We start from the raw sequence: 16,886 nt of genomic DNA, 5'->3' as shown, positions 1-16,886 counted from the left end.
CAATTAAAGATGGCTATCATTATTCTACCTTACTAACACAATATTAAAATCCTTTCAAAAAGCTAATACGATTATTTCACAAATCAAGAAAACCTAGAGTAATCAGAAACAAACAAACGAAAATAGGCTGACCAATGCCTAAACAAGATATAATGATGTAAGACATCCTCTTGCTGTTCAGAATGGTAAAAACAGCAATAATTACAGAGCAAAATACTGCATTTTATCTTTCATTATTGGTATAGCAATTAAAAAATACTTCATGAAAAAAATACTTACCTTCTTGTATCTGTAAGACCACTGCTTTAACCCTCCATCCAGACCAGTGATTAGTGACTTATCATACATACTAGATATACAAATGTAAATATAGATATAAATCAATGTATCTACCTACCTACCTACATTGTAATTTATCTTGGAATATAGCTTGACAACCAAACTGCAAAATAGCTGATTTTTAAATATATGTTTTGACAGACAAGGACATCTGAACCTGCTGTTAGTTCAATAAAAAGAAAAATTATTGTCTTGTCATAGCTGGATAGACAAAGTAAAATAACAGATTCTATAGTAAATCTGAGTCTTCCCAGTAGAATCTCAATGACCAAAGCAGACATTTCCCCCTAAGATTAAAAGAAAGGAATGAGTTATTAAAAATGTTTATGTAATCTTTAAAAATCTAAATGTAGATTTAGCTATGATTAATTAATTAAAAATTCACGGATAGCCTCTGGAGTGTACCATAAAAATTATAGTGTATAAATGTCCAATTACACTTTATTTTACATTTTAAAGTTTTCAAGATAAGTAAAACCCGTTCTTTATTATTTTCCCAACACAGCTGCTACTGTAGTTGCGTTCTTATATCTTCTAAATATCAAAATTTAAAAGCTAGCATTGTACGTTTTGTAATATTAAATTATAATGTTATTTCTAAAAACTCTTTATCTCTAATAAGCAATTATCGGTTGGTGTGATATTCACATTTCAAGGATATGAATTTTACAGAAAACTTATCGACTCTGAGCAAGTAGTTGAAAATCACTAAATCTAAGATAACAAAAGGTTTTTTTAATGCTAATGATCAAAACCAACTTCCTTCTGATAAATTAATAAAACAGAAATGTAAGTATTTCATTTTAAAAGACACAGCCAAACTTACTTTAATACATGCACTTTTTTCGATACTGCTAAACAAATATACCACAAAAGGTTTAATTTTGTCAGAAAGAATTTCGGTGGTTTCAGGAAATTTTCAGGTAAATATATTTTTTCTTACTGTTACCCATATGAAAAAGATTATATCAAAGTTAAGAGGCTCAAATCAACACAAAAAGATACATTTTTCATCGAATCAAACTTTTTTTAAAATAATTGTTATTAGTGGCGTTTAGAATAAGAAAGACATACTGCTCATGGTGGTACCAACTGGTGTAACCTTCTTAAAGCAATCTGGCAATATGGCCAAGAAACTTGAAAAGGTATTCTTATCTTGAAGGTAAGAAATTGTTGCTAAAGGATAGAGTCAAATATGCGTACAAGGTTTTTAGCACAAAGTTGTTCATGTCACCTTATTATAAAAGTTCTTAAAGCACAAAAAGTATAACAATGTCCTATAAATAACGATTGAATATGTGGTCCACTAATAATTTCATACAGGCACTAAAAACATTTTCAAAGATTATGTAATAACATGAGAAAATAATTAAGTGAAAAAGGTGGCACTGGCTGGGTGCAGTGGCTCACGCCTGTAATCCCAGCACTTTGGGAGGCCGAGGCAGGTGGATCACGAGGTCAGGAGTTCGAGATCAGCCTGGCCAACATGGTGAAACCCCATCTCTACTAAAAATACACCACTGCACACTCCATCCTGGGCAACAGAGCGAGACTCCCTCTCAAAAAAAAAAAAAAAAACAACAAAAAAAACCACAATTCCAGTTCTGTAAGTTTAAATGAATGCTAATGGTATATGGGCGTATATTTTTATAAATGCGAAAAGTGATATACCACAGTTAGCCATAAAAAGAAATAACATCCTGATACATGCCAGAATAAGGTAAATGAAAGAAGCCAGACACATTAAAAAAAAAAAAACCACATATAATTGTGTTTATATGAAATGTCCAGAATAGGCAAATTCAAAGAAACAGTAAACTAGAGGTTGTCAGGGGCTGCTTGAAGGGGAAATGGGGAGTGTAATGGGTGCAGGTTTCTTACTGGAGTAATGAAAATGTTCTGGATTTAGATAGTGGTGATGGATGCATAATATTCTAAAAACCACTGAATTATATCAAAGCAAAAAAATATGAAAAAATGATATGCAAAAAAAAGTTTATCAGTGGCAGAGGTCTAAATTTTTTCTTCATACTTAACTATATTTTCTAAAGTTAACATATATGTTACTTTTATAAACAAAAATCATACCTTCTTTCTCTCTCTGATCATCCCTATCAATTGATTATGGATAATAATCAATTATACAAACATGTTGTTATATCTCTTACAACATCTTACAAAATCGAAATCCCTCATCTTTACTTCTCCTGCTTGCTATCACCTTTACAAAAATTCACTGAAAGAGTTGTCTGTATTCACTGTCTGATTCTTCTCCTCCAATTCTCTTTGTATTCCAATTCAACTCCCCTAAGACCGTGCTTATCAAGGTCACCAACACCCCCTAAATTGTTCAATCCAATGGTCAAGTCTCAGTCTGCATGTCACCTGACCTATCGGCAGCACTTGACAAAGCTGGTCAATCCATTCTCCTTGAACACAGGTGGATAACAGTCTTGGTTTTCCTTTGATCTCACTAGTTGTTCCTACTCAGTCTCCTGGACTTCTTAAACTAAAGAGGCTCAGGGTTCACATCTTAAAACTTTTCACTTTTTCTTTTTTTTTTTTTTTTTGAGACAGAGTGTTGCTCTGTCACTCAGGCTGGAGTGTAGTGCTGCAATCATGGCTCACTGCAGTCTTGATCTCCTAGGCTCAAGCAATCCTCCTGCCTCAGCCTCTTGGGTAGCTGAGCTACAGGTACACTGCACCACACCCAGGTAATTTTTTGTATTTTTTCTTAAAGGCAGGGCTTCACCATGTTGCCCAGGCTGGTATTGAACTCCTGGCCTCCAGCCATACTCCCACCTTGGCCTCTCGAAGTGCTGGGATTATAGGGGTAAGTCACCGCACCCAGCTAGAACTTTTCACTTTTCTACCTATACTCCCTCTTTGTAAATCTTATCCAGTTTTCTATCCCCATGACAAACTGAAATTCAGAAATACCTGTAACTAGTTCCTCTACCTTCTACCCAGCCCTCATATTCCCATGGGGACGGTCTGAAGTTCTGATCTTGGATAGGGAAGGTATGAGCGAGAGGTAGGGAAACTGTAGATTATCTTAGAAGTGAAAAAGTTAAAGATATACCCCAATATCCTGTTTTCCCCCAGTCATCCTGAATCATGTGACAAAATGAGTGCCAACTAATCAACTAACTGTTAACCAACTAAAGGCTTGGATCCTTGGTTTGGATCCTGTAAATCCAAACCAGAGGAGTAAGAGTACCAAACGATATTTAAGCCAGCATGAACATTTGCCACTAGGTGGCGCCAAACCATAGCCAAGAAAAGGGATTTGGATCAAGAAGTAAAGGCCACATAAACCCCAAGCAGCTAACAAGTATGCTTGCCCTGATACTTCATCAACTTAATAATACCCAACCCCTTAACTGACATGACTGATTTTTGTTGTTGTTTTTATTTATCCACTGACAACTCCTGAATCTAAAACCCCCAACCTAGACCTCTTACCTGAAATCTGGACCTCTCTTATCTACTCATTGCTGCTTACAGGTCTAACAGCACCTGATAGGCCCTGAACTGAACCCCCTAACTTACCCCCCTTGCTCTCCCCACCCTGAATCTGCTCCTCCTCAGTCTTTCCCCTTTCAGTTGGCGGGCCCCCATCCTCCCTGATGCGTAACTCAAAAGCCTTCATCTATGACCACTACTTCTCTCACATAGTATATCCAAATCCATAACCTATCTTCTTAGTATCTTCTACACACACAGTCAGACTACTTCTCACTACTCTGATCTGTGTTCTGGATTGCTGCAATAATCTGCTGAGTGAGGTCCCTGCTTCAACTTTTGCCCCTTTTAATATATTCCTCAAAATAGGAGCCGGAGTGATTCCACTGAAATGAAATACAACCCTTTAGCAGTTCCTTATCTCACTCAGAATTAAAATTAGCACCTTTAAAATGGCTTGCAAAACTCCATACTGTTTGGCCCTTCACTTACTCTGAGCCAGCCACAATATTTCTCAAACCTGACAGGCATGCTCTTGCTTTAGGGCTTTGCCCTTGCTGTTCCCTCTGCGTGGAGGGGGCCCCTCCCCTCAGATATCCTGAGAGCTCACTCCTCCTTCTTCAGGTCTTTGCTCTCAGAGAAGCCCGCCCTCAACTACTCTATTTAAAATTAAAATTTCCCTAGTCCCCACCAATCCCTATCTTCTGTCTCTACTTACTACAGTATATGTTGATTGCTACCAGTATGATTCCATATTAATAGTAGAGAAGCCACATGAGGGTGGAACTTTTTGTCTTTTTGTTCACTGATTTATTTCCAGTACTTAAAACAGTGCCAAGAGTACTCGACAATATTTGTTAAATGTTAAACATATGGAAAAATGTTGCATGATAAAAGCAAGTTTTAAAACTATAGGCCGGGCGCGGTGGCTCACGCCTGTAATCCCAGCACTTTGGGAGGCCGAGGCGGGTGGATCATGAGGTCAGGAGATCGAGACCATCCTGGCTAACAAGGTGAAACCCCGTCTCTACTAAAAATACAAAAAATTAGCCGGGCGCGGTGGCGGGCGCCTGTAGTCCCAGCTACTCGGGAGGCTGAGGCAGGAGAATGGCGTGAACCCGGGAAGCGGAGCTTGCAGTGAGTCGAGATTGCGCCACTGCAGTCCGCAGTCCGGCCTGGGCGACAGAGCGAGACTCCGTCTCAAAAAAAAAAAAAAAAAAAAAAAAAAAAAAAAAAAAAAAACTATATAAAGTAGTATAGCATAGATTTTAAAAAGCATAATTCAAAACTAGATTTGAATTATAGGACTGTCACTTTGTAGCTGTGGGACTTTGAGCAAGTTTCTTATAATTTCTCTCTAAGCAATAACATGCTTATCTGTAAAGTGAGAATAATAACAGTGCCAACTTCAAACGTTTATAGTGAAGATTAACTGGGTAAATGCATATAAAATGCTTAGAAGAGGACTTAAACCAGGGGTTGACAAACTAAGTCCCATGAAGCCAAATCCAGCCCTCAAACTTGTTTTTATAAACCAAATTTTAGGATGGCACAGCCATGCCCACTATTTATGTATCGTTTATGACTCCTTTCACTCTACAATGGCAGAGTTGAGTAGCTGAGTAGCAAGAGAGACCACATGGCCTACAAAGCTATCTGGTCCTTTAGAGAAAAGTATGTTGACCCCAAACTTGGCCAATAGTATGCACCCAGTGCATGTTAGACATCACTGTCTATGTTAATGTATAGTTGCAAGGGTAGATTCGTGTGTATATAATTCCCAACCTACCAGACTATAAAAATCTTGTTTGCATATGGTACTTTCCAGATATAAAATAAGATATATAATCCCTAAACACAAGGGCACCAACCCCTCTGAGATTATTATCTAGTTGTTGAGACACTGTAATGGTCTCATATTACAGAAAAGGATATTATAATTCTCAAAGAAATTGATATTGACTGATTGATTGGTTGATTGACTGAGAGAGAGAGAAAGGGTCTCCCTCTGTTGCCCAGGCTGGAGTGCGGTGGCACTACCACAACTTATTGCTGCCTCAACCTCCTGGGATCAAGCGATCCTCCCACCTCAGCCTCCCAAGTAGCTGAGACTATAGGCACACACCATCATGCCCGGGTAAATTTTTTTTATTACTTTTTGTAGAGACAGGCATCTCACTATGTTACCCAGGCTGGATTCAAACTCCTGGACTCAAGCGATCCTCCTGCCTTGGCCTCCCAAAATGCTGGGGTTACAGGCATCAGCCACCACAGCCAGTTGATTCACCTTTAATTGTTTTAAAAAAGTTTCCATACCACATAGTACATACATACATACATACATACATACATATGTACCTGTATGTGTGCGTGTGTTTCTCTATTTGTGACAGAGTCTCGCTCTTTCACCCAGGCTGGAGTGCAGTCACACGATCTCGGCTCACTACAACCTCCGCCTCCCAGGTTCAAGCGATTCTCGTGCCTCAACCTCCTGAGTAGCTAGGATTACAGGCGTGTACCATTACCCTGGATAATTTTTATATTTTTAGTAGAGACAGGGTTTCGCCATGTTGCCCAGGCTGGTCTCGAACTCCACCCACCTCAGCCTCCCAAAGTGCTGGGATTACAGGCATGAGCCACTGCGCCCGGCCCACACAGTACATGTAAAGGTCTTTTCAGTTTTAGGAATGGGATATAGGGTTAGATAGGGCAGTCCACAGAAGCAAAGAAACAATGATAGGGTACTGTAATTCCAAAAAAGCACCCAAGTACAAGGCACCCAATCTCAGGTATTTCTTTATAGCAATGCACATGGACTAAGACACTATGTCAAAACTTATTGCTGTTTTTGCAGTTGGCAAGAGATGAAGCAGCTGGCATTTAGAGATCGTACTGAATGGAAAGTAACAGTTTTACATACTAGGTTATCCCTAAGCTGGGCTAGTTGGTCTGACCAACTAAAAGAATAGCAGATTCTTATCTCCCATCTCATATTCACTCTGGGGCATATGCTCATAGAATTTCTCTCTCCATGTTTATCTGGCAGAACATGTATAACTGAGTTCAAGTAAGCTAAAAGCATGTGTAACTCTGTATTACTACTATCACCATAACATTTTATGTTAATGTTTCCTTAAATATCATATTAAATTGTTATAAACTTCTGCCAAATTGTATGCAGCATATTCTACAAATTAACTCTGGTCACCACAGTATATGACATCATGGTAAAGTATAACGTTCTTACCTTGTTCTTCACTTCCTTCCTTACAAAGACTAGAACTTTGGCCCAGACTTAAACTGATATCATCAGAAGTCTTAGCAGTGTCTGTATCTCCTACAAAGTTAAGAGAAACATGTGAGGACCTTATATTAACAGTAAGGCTGTAGGGTGGCATAACCAAGGAGTATTAATACATCAAGGAGTACTAATGTCTATCAACTAAAGTAGTTTTTGTGTATCAAAGGTTACAATAATGGAAGATGCACTGAACTAGCAGGAAGTATCATGGACTATCAGAGCACTTAATTATTCTCACAGAACTACAAACCAAACAATGTGGAAAGCTTCAAAATGTAAACTAATAAAACTATTTCTTTAAAAACAAGTGGAATTTAAAAAGGAATGCAAATTACATAACTTGACCCAACATGAATTTCCTTCCCAGGGAAAATTATTAACCTAAAAAACTATAGGGTGAAAACAATACGAATTTATCTGAATAGATCAAATAGCAGAAAATAACTTGCTCTTTTTTGTTCTTTCATTTGTGGTCACATTAGAAGGTTTCACATCAAATTACTTAGTTTTCCATGAACCCCACTAAAACCCACAAAACTGTTTTCCCTCAAGGGCAAGGAAGTTTCTTATAGATCAAAACTTATGTAATTCACGCAATGTAATGTAAGTGGTCAGACACTTTTGTGAAATTTGGATGATGAAAGAGAACACAATTTAAGTCAACCAACCTTTAATAAGATAAATAATTTTATCTATAAAAGAATTTCAAGAATGATTTTTTTCATTACATTTGAATGTACAGTACTGTTATCTTCATTACAACCAAAATGAAAGGGAAAGGCAGGTGCAACTTTTAAGTTAGATCACACCTACCTTTAATAGTTGCTGCTGTTCCAAGACGCGAGGAACCAGATCCAATCTGAAAACGTGACATGAAGTAAATAAAACTAATTAAAATGCTAGCTATGTCATTATCAATACACACTAGCAAGATTATCAAACAAAATTATATGATCAAAACATGTTATCGATCATTTTTATCAATATTAGAAGATACTTGTTGGACAAGCTCTATTGGAGCCACGCAACCTGTTGGCTGCGGCACAGGCTGCGTGTGTCTTACTGATATGTGGAGCTACCCAATCCCTCTGCATGCTCAGGACTGACGGAGCCCCCCCAGAGCCAGATCCTCCAATCTCAAGCAACTCATGTCATACAATTATCATTTTTATACTACATCATGACACGTTCATGTTATAAACAAAAGCAAAACCAGGCTTTATGTCTACCTGAAATAAATTTAGACTTCTTAGGGTATAAAAGGAAGGTTTGGCAGACAAACATTAACATACACTACAAAGTGCAGCATAAGTCTAACCATCGAATTGTAAGTGTATCATTATGTACCTTCTTTAGTTGGAGACAAAAGTAAGTACTTCTTTATAGACAGAACATTAAAAAATAAATCAATAAAAGTCTAAGGCATCCATGAAAAATGAATTTTTAGCACAAACTATAAGGAGAAAATTAAAACCTGATTGTTGAGCTTTTAGTGCTTATATTCAAGATAGTTTAACACTTCCCTAAAATTTCACAGCCATTATTTATTATACTACCATGAAAATCATATAAATAAATACCACAAATTCCACAAACACATTAAGGAAACCAAAGATAACATAACAGTTACTAAATCAACAAGTCTTAGCAACTCTTCCTGTAACTCGTTTTCATGGATTCAAAGAAGAAAACAGTCAAGCAAAGTTAGCACTGTAAAATAAAATTAAGAACATTCATATACTACTTTATACTTTACCACATCTTCCTCTTCATTGGTTTGATTTAGTAGGTGTATATCACAAGAAATCACTCAAAATATAAGTTAATGTTGACTTTGAAGGGACATGAAGGCCTTTCTTGATTTGGATGGCAACTGAATGGGTGCACACAGATGTAAAAATTCACTTAGCTGTACACTGAAGGTGTGCACTACGCTGTGTAAGTTACATGCCAGTGAAAAAGTAAATAAAAATATGCATACATATATCTGTTGAAACTACAAATAAACTCTTGAGGTAGCCAATAAAAAAAAGCTTTGTAATAATTTTGAACTATTTTATTAAGCTTGGTTCTTCTAGTTTTTCCTAATTTCTGCTTTCAATTAGCCATAAAAGACATTGCAATTTGCCAGCAAGAAAAAAACCAAAAAGCATTTTATCGCAAAAGTTTCATTCTTACAACACCTGCTACATAAGTTATAGAATTAACATTTGCTATTTTTCTGCTAGAATTAAATATAACTTCCTAGACAGAAATTTAAAAACAAACAAGAAAACAAAAACACCATTTTATGCATACCCATCTAGGAATTTAAACTTAAAAAAAAAATTTTTAAACACGGATATGGTAGTCATTTGCTCAGAAGCTCAAAGTATTCCCTTTCTCCTTCTTTAACAATCTCCCTATTTTGTTCCAAAATTGGTCATACACCTTCTGATATATGAGAAGTACACCCAGTCCCTGGTCTAGAGGTAGGTGTATGAACTAGTTCTGGTGAATGAACGTGTGGGAGAATCTGCTGGAGGGCTTCAGGAAAACGTCTTTGTGTGTCTGAGAAGAAAGTGATCAAGGAAAATCTCTGTCCCACACTACTGCTTGCTTCCTAACTTTTCAAACAGGGTCTTGATTGAAGCTGCTGTGCTCATCCTGCAACCCTGAGAAAAAAGCCTAGAGAACTGCAGAGATGCCAATCCAGAGGCCTAACGTTAGGCTGCTGAACACAAATGCCACACAATCACCTCCAGATTTAGGTGAAAAACAACTATTTCTTTAAGTCACTATTAGTTGAGTATTCTATTACTTGTTGACAAAAACATTCTTAACAGGTATAATAGAGTGGTTATATTTTATTCTTCATACTTTTCTGCATTATGCTTCCCCTCAAAAAGAATCATGACTATTTACAAGTGAAACAACAGGGCTCCAGAATATAAACTATAGTATATCCAAATGCAATGCATTCCCCAAAGTGTCACTGTAGAAAAACACTTAATGATATTAATGCTCATGATACAATCAATTATGACATAGATTATTTTAATTTTCCTGTTTGCCCTCACTCATTAAATTTCCTAAAAATGAAAATGTAAAGATTAAGAAAAAACAGTATCTTTTTACACTTGAGGGTGAAGTTTTTTATTTAAGTGCTTTGCATAAACTAAAATATTCCACTGTTTCTTCTCTATGACAAGTGCCATAGGAAGGATTATGGATACCAGGGAAGAAAGGTTACTTCTAACTAGAGAGCATATCAGGCAAGGCCACCTGCCCCAAGAAGCCATGCCTGTCTCTCCAGCTGGAAACAATTATTTTATCCTATGAAATCATTAGCTCTTCTTCTCTACCATTCCTATGGCAATTTTTACTTCGTTATCTTTTTTTTTTTTTTTTTTTTGAGACGGAGTCTCACTCTGTTGCCCAGGCTGGAGTGCAGTGGTGCCATCTCAGCTCACTGCAACCTCCACCTCCCGGGTTCAAGCAATTCTCCTGCCTCAGCCTCCTGGGTAGCTGGGAATACAGGTGCATGCCACCACACCCAGCTAATTTTTTGTATTTTTAGTAGAGACGGAGTTTCACCATACTAGCCAGGCTGGTCTCAATCGCCCAACCTCGTGATCCACCTACCTCGGCCTCCCAAAGTGCTGGAATTACAGGCGTGAGCCACCGTGCCTGGCCCCTTGGTAACATATATCACATCTTTATCTTTGGTTACTTATATCACACCTACTATGAGATCACAATCTCTTTCAGTATAAGACCCACTCCCCAACCCACACTAAGTAGAATGCCTTGAATACTATTGGGCGCTAAAATATTTGAAGGTAGAAAAGTGACAAAAGGAAAGAGAAGGAGGTAAGGAGAGGAATGAAAAGAAAGAATGGAAATGATGGGTAGAAGATGAAAGGGAGAAAGGCAGAGGTGAAGGAAAGAATAGTAACAATGACCACGATGTAGCTACTATGGTCAGTGGGTTCACTGTTTAGTACCCAACAAATTTATATAAAATATGATAATGTGTAGCAGTATCTTACACATTATATAATAAAATACATACAAGAAACAACAGTATGTCTATAATGGTAATATCTCCAGCAATATGCAAAAAGCCAGACTCTTCCTCCTCACTTCAGCTTCTCTAAAGTGTAAGAATAATTATGTCAACCATTTATTTTGTCATAAACAGTATAAAACGAAAACACTAAAATCCAAGTAGCACAATAACCTCCAATATTTGCCCATTTTTATTAAAAAGTTATTAAGTAAAAGGTATGCTGTGTGTTTAACAACATGCACACATGCTTTAATCACAGTCAAAAAGGGACTCCCTCCCTAAAACAAACAGGCAAGTTCCAACAGACACGATGCCAAGGTCACAGGATCCAAAAGTGCCTGGCCACTGCTGGCCCTTTCATCTTTCCTTTTTGTAAAAAGGAAAAAAGGTCTCCAAAAGATGATTGGAGAAATGTAGGCTTACTCTCTGGGGGTCTGATACTACCTACGTCTGTCAATAAGAAGAAAGCCCAGGGTTAATTAAGAATACAAGACATGCAGCCATATTCAAGAATTGAGTTATTTCATTCTATAAAAAGAGACAGAGAAACACAAGGCCAACAAAAAAACAGGATCAAGGATAGTAACCCTTGTCTTCAAACAGGCATTGTAAAATTTGAAACAAAAAGTATCAATCTAAGGCTGGGCATGGTGACTCACATCTGTAATCCCAGCACTTTGGGAGGCTGAGGTGGGCAGACCACCTGAGGTCAGGAGTTCGAGGTAGTCTGGACAACATGGTGAACCCCATCTCTACTAAAAATGCAAAAAAATTAGCCAGGTGTGGTGGCAGACACCTGTAATCCCAGCTACTTAGGAGGCTGAGGCACGAGAACAGCTTGAACCTGTGAGATGGAGGTTGCAGTGAGCCAAGATTGTGCCATTGCACTCCAGCCTGGATGACAGAGCAAGATTCTATCTCAGAAAAAAAAAGTATCAATCTAATTAATATGTCATAGCTCTTTTCACATTCTTTAAACAAACAAACAACAACAACAAAAAAACTCTTGACATCTCCCATTCCATAAGCTTGTTATGGAAGGAAGATAAATTTAACAACCTACATGTTCTGTACTCACTAGATCAGTCCGAATGAGCCGCATGATACAGTGATGAACACACAAGAGAACAGTCGCCCTGGTCAAGTTATTTGTATCTGTATTCTTTAAGTAAACAGAATTTAACTAGAATACTAACTTGTTTTACAGAACTGGAAACCTAAGATTTTAGATCTGTACATGTTTAGAAGGCCAAGGTTAAAAAAAGAAAGTGATGCTATGTAGTAACGATACAGAAAGACAAAAGAGAGAAAGGTACTAGGTTCAAAACTGTTACCTTTAATAGTTTAGTCATTCACTTTAACTTTAAATCATGAACATGCTAATCAGAGTCAAATCTTCTATCAAAATATATTAGAAAACAAGACCCTGTTCAAGATTTTGATTCATATAGTGTTTTTCATAACATTGTTCTTAAGGCTACCAATGCAGAAGAGTAGAATACTACAGGACAGAGTTGGCAGAATTATATCTGCTATTTACTCATTTGTTAAATGAGAAGCTAGGTCTGATCTACCTCTAATGTTTTATTACCTAGTCACATAAGGATAATTAGCAATCATTAATTTAAAGTCAACTGTACACAAGGCAGTATATAAGACAGAAGAAAAAAAGAGGAAAATCTACTCTGTAGAGCCTTGTAAAGTGCCATATAAATAAGTACTCATCTGCAAAAGAAAGGGTCAACACCATAAGGTGTTTGAAAATCTTGAGAAATGTAGGATAGTTACAAGAAGAGTTAGACCAGAAAATAAAGATGACTAAGTCTGTCTCTAGAACAGAAAGCAGGCAGAAAAGAGAAGAATGGTTTCAATCCACAATCTGTGTCATATGATAACAAGAAGACTGGAGTGAGAAGTGCGGTCTAGTCCAGACCCTGATATAAATCAGCTATTTCTTCTTCTATATAATGAAAAGACTGACATAGCAACTACTAAAACCTATAGTTATGTAAAGGTCTGCTAAGAGAAGACCATGAACGTTTCCAACAAAGTTCATAGAATTTTACTCTACCCAATGAAATCATCTGCTGAGAAGGACAGCAGGAGTAACTGGGGCTTTGATTAGTGTACGGGTATTTAGGATGAATAAGAGGACTAGAGCAGCAAAGGTCCAGCCAAGTTTTGAAATAAAACTTCAAGAGTTACCATTTTAAAAGTTACATAGTAGAAAGACATTAAAATTGATAAAAGCAAATTTGTATTTTACTTTTAGCCTTACCATTAAACATCTTGAACACTGAGAGATTTTCAGCATTTATTTTTATTTTTTGGCCACGTTTAAACTGGGGGTAACCACAGACATCTACACCTCTCTAATACACATGATGTGAAGATAGCGCAAGCTAGAAGCTAAATTTCCTAAGGCTATTCACAACTGTCATAATCAAAACTATACACCCAAAGATGAGTCTGTGGTAATGCTCAACAAATCTGTAATTAATCAATGTGAAAAGTAACTTAAAAAGAATATTAATAAAAGATGTTATTAATAAGCAATTAAAAATAATAATCAGAAAGATATGACAAAACATCAGCCGACTTAAAGACACGAGAATAACGGAGACCACCATCAGGAGGAGGGAAAAAGGCAAAATAAAACAGCGCAGGTTCCTACCTGGTTGCTTGGATCTAGACCGGCATAAGAATTTCTGGAACTGCAACCAACTGGGGGTGTGGCCTCTCGGATGAACTCAGACATTTCAATCCCTCCACCAGGATCACTGTGGAGAAAAAAATGAGAAAAAGAGTAACTGTCATTATTCTGACTCCAATGCTTTTCCTTTGTTAATTTTTTAAGTTATACTTTTTTCCACAAAACTAAGAGGTTCTGATTTTTAATCCAGCAAATAGCAAAAAAGGTAAACAACGATCATTCTTCATTTACAAGTCTGATACTTGGAACTATTTTATAACCACATCACTACTTGAAAATATGTATAACTCTCTTATTCCAAACTGTCTACATCAAATCCAACATTAGAAACTGGCATTAATTACAATTATAGCATACTAAATATGTTACGATACGTGCCATCAAACCACTCTCACAAAGAAATGATTGCCTTTTGCTTCCCTAGAGCAAAGAGAAATTGTTCAATTGTAAACACAGAATGTAATCAGATATTACATTAACGAATCCCCTCGAGATCAGTCTCAATGAGCCGCATGATACAGTGATGAACACACAAGAGAACAGTCGCCCTGGTCAAGCTATTTGTATCTGTATTCTTTAAGTAACCAGAATTTAACTAGAATACTAACTTGTTTTACAGAACTGGAAACCTAAGATTTTAGATCTGTACATGTTTAGAAGGCCAAGGTTAAAAAAAGAAAGTGATGCTATGTAGTAACGATACAGAAAGACAAAAAAGAGAAAAGTACTAGGTTCAAAGCACTGGAGAAGCCCAAACACAGTACTTAAAGATAACAGGATTAATTTTTGTATAAGGTGTAAGGAAGTGATCCAGTTTCAGCTTTCTACATATGGCTAGCCAGTTTTCCCAGCACCATTTATTAAATAGGGAATCCTTTCCCCATTGCTTGTTTTTCTCAGGTTTGTCAAAGATCAGAGAGTTATAGATATGCGGCGTTATTTCTGAGGGCTCTGTTCTGTTCCATTGATCTATATCTCTGTTTTGGTACCAGTACCATGCTGTTTTGGTTACTGTAGCCTTGTAGTAGAGTTTGAAGTCAGGTAGCGTGACGCCTCCAGCTTTGTTCTTTTGGCTTAGGATTGACTTGGCGATGTGGGCTCTTTTTTGGTTCCATATGAACTTCAAAGTAGTTTTTTCCAATTCTGTGAAGAAAGTCATTGGTAGGTTGATGGGGATGGCATTGAATCTATAAATTACCTTGGGCAGTATGGCCATTTTCACGATATTGATTCTTCCTACCTATGAGCATGGAATGTTCTTCCATTTGTTTGTATCCTCTTTTATTTCATTGAGCAGTGGTTTGTAGTTCTCCATTAAGAGGTCCTTCACATCCCTTGTAAGTTGGATTCCTAGGTATTTTATTCTCTTTGAAGCAATTGTGAATGGGAGTTCATTCATGATTTGGCTCTCTGTTTGTCTGTTATTGGTGTATAAGAATGCTTGTGATTTTTGTACATTGATTTTGTATCCTGAGACTTTGCTGAAGTTGCTTATCAGCTTAAGGAGATTTTGGGCTGAGACAATGGGGTTTTCTAGATATACAATCATATCACCTGCAAACAGGGACAATTTGACTTCCTCTTTTCCTAATTGAATACCCTTTATTTCCTTCTCCTGCCTAATTGCCCTGGCCAAAACTTCCAACACTATGTTGAATAGGAGTGGTGAGAGGGCATCCCTGTCTTGTGCCAGTTTTCAAAGGGAATGCTTCCAGTTTTTGCCCATTCAGTATGATATTGGCTGTGGGTTTGTCATAGATAGCTCTTATTATTTTGAGATACGTCCCATCGATACCTAATTTATTGAGAGTTTTTAGCATGAAGTGTTGTTGAATTTTGTCAAAGGCCTTTTCTGCATCTTGAGATAAAGGCCTTTTCTGCATCTTGAGATAATCACGTGAAGATGGATTAAAGACTTAAACGTTAGACCTAAAACCATAAAAACCCTAGAAGAAAACCTAGGCTTTACCATTCAGGACATAGGCATGGGCAAGGACTTCATGTCTAAAACACCAAAAGCAATGGCAACAAAAGCCAAAATTGACAAATGGGATCTAATTAAACTAAAGAGCTTCTGCACGGCAAAAGAAACTACCATCAGAGTGAACAGGCAACCTACAAAATGGGAGAAAATTTTCGCAACCTACTCATCTGACAAAGGGCTAATATCCAGAATCTACAATGAACTCAAACAAATTTACAAGAAAAAAACAAACAACCCCATCAAAAAGTGGGCGAAGGACATAAACAGACACTTCTCAAAAGAAGACATTTATGCAGCCAAAAAACACATGAAAAAATGCTCACCATCACTGGCCATCAGAGAAATGCAAATCAAAACCACAATGAGATACCATCTCACACCAGTTAGAATGGTGATCATTAAAAAGTCAGGAAACAACAGGTGCTGGAGAGGATGTGGAGAAATAGGAACACTTTTACACTGTTGGTGGGACTGTAAACTAGTTCAACCATTGTGGAAGTCAGTGTGGCGATTCCTCAGGGATCTAGAACTAGAAATACCATTTGACCCAGCCATTCCATTACTGGGTATATACCCAAAGGACTATAAATCATGCTGCTATAAAGACACATGCACACGTATGTTTACTGCGGCACTATTCACAATAGCAAAGACTTGGAACCAACCCAAATGTCCAACAATGATAGACTGGATTAAGAAAATGTGGCACATATACACCATGGAATACTATGCAGCCATAAAAAATGATGAGTTCCTGTCCTTTGTAGGGACACGAATGAAATTGGAAATCATCATTCTCAGTAAACTATCGCAAGAACAAAAAACCAAACACCGCATATTCTCACTCATAGGTGGGAACTGAACAATGAGAACACATGGACACAGGAAAGAGAACATCACACTCTGGGGACTGTTGTGGGGTGGGGGGAGGGGGGAGGGATAGCATTAGAAGATATACCTAATGCTAAATGACGAGTTAATGGGTGCAGCTCACCAGCATGGCATGTGTATACATATGTAACTAAACTGCACA

At 37.4% G+C, this 16,886-nt stretch overlaps 1 protein-coding gene across 22 annotated transcripts in view; it reads right to left on the bottom strand.

Annotated features, from left to right (window-relative positions):
- The window catches only part of PCNX1 (pecanex 1), a 207,924-nt gene that overhangs the window by 139,221 nt on the left and 51,817 nt on the right, over window positions 1–16,886 (bottom strand). For 19 of the 22 annotated variants that reach the window (XR_245673.5, XR_007063992.1, XM_005267420.5 and 16 more), the window contains exons 3-5: window positions 13,831–13,936; window positions 7,919–7,964; window positions 7,052–7,141 (exon numbers count right to left, since the gene is read on the bottom strand). Coding sequence is in view for 17 of the 22 variants with exons in the window: in XM_005267420.5 (XP_005267477.1) it covers window positions 7,052–7,141; window positions 7,919–7,964; window positions 13,831–13,936 (242 nt within the window). In the remaining 5 variants the exon portion in view is untranslated. Of the gene's footprint in view, window positions 1–401; window positions 494–7,051; window positions 7,142–7,918; window positions 7,965–13,830; window positions 13,937–16,886 lie in introns of those variants that run through there. The other 3 variants (XM_047431127.1, XM_047431128.1, XM_047431129.1) reach the window with 1 other exon arrangement.

Source organism: Homo sapiens, chromosome 14 (genome assembly GCF_000001405.40).
Source record: "Homo sapiens chromosome 14, GRCh38.p14 Primary Assembly".
Lineage (NCBI taxonomy): Eukaryota > Metazoa > Chordata > Mammalia > Primates > Hominidae > Homo > Homo sapiens.
This window is presented reverse-complemented; position numbering and strand designations above follow the sequence as displayed.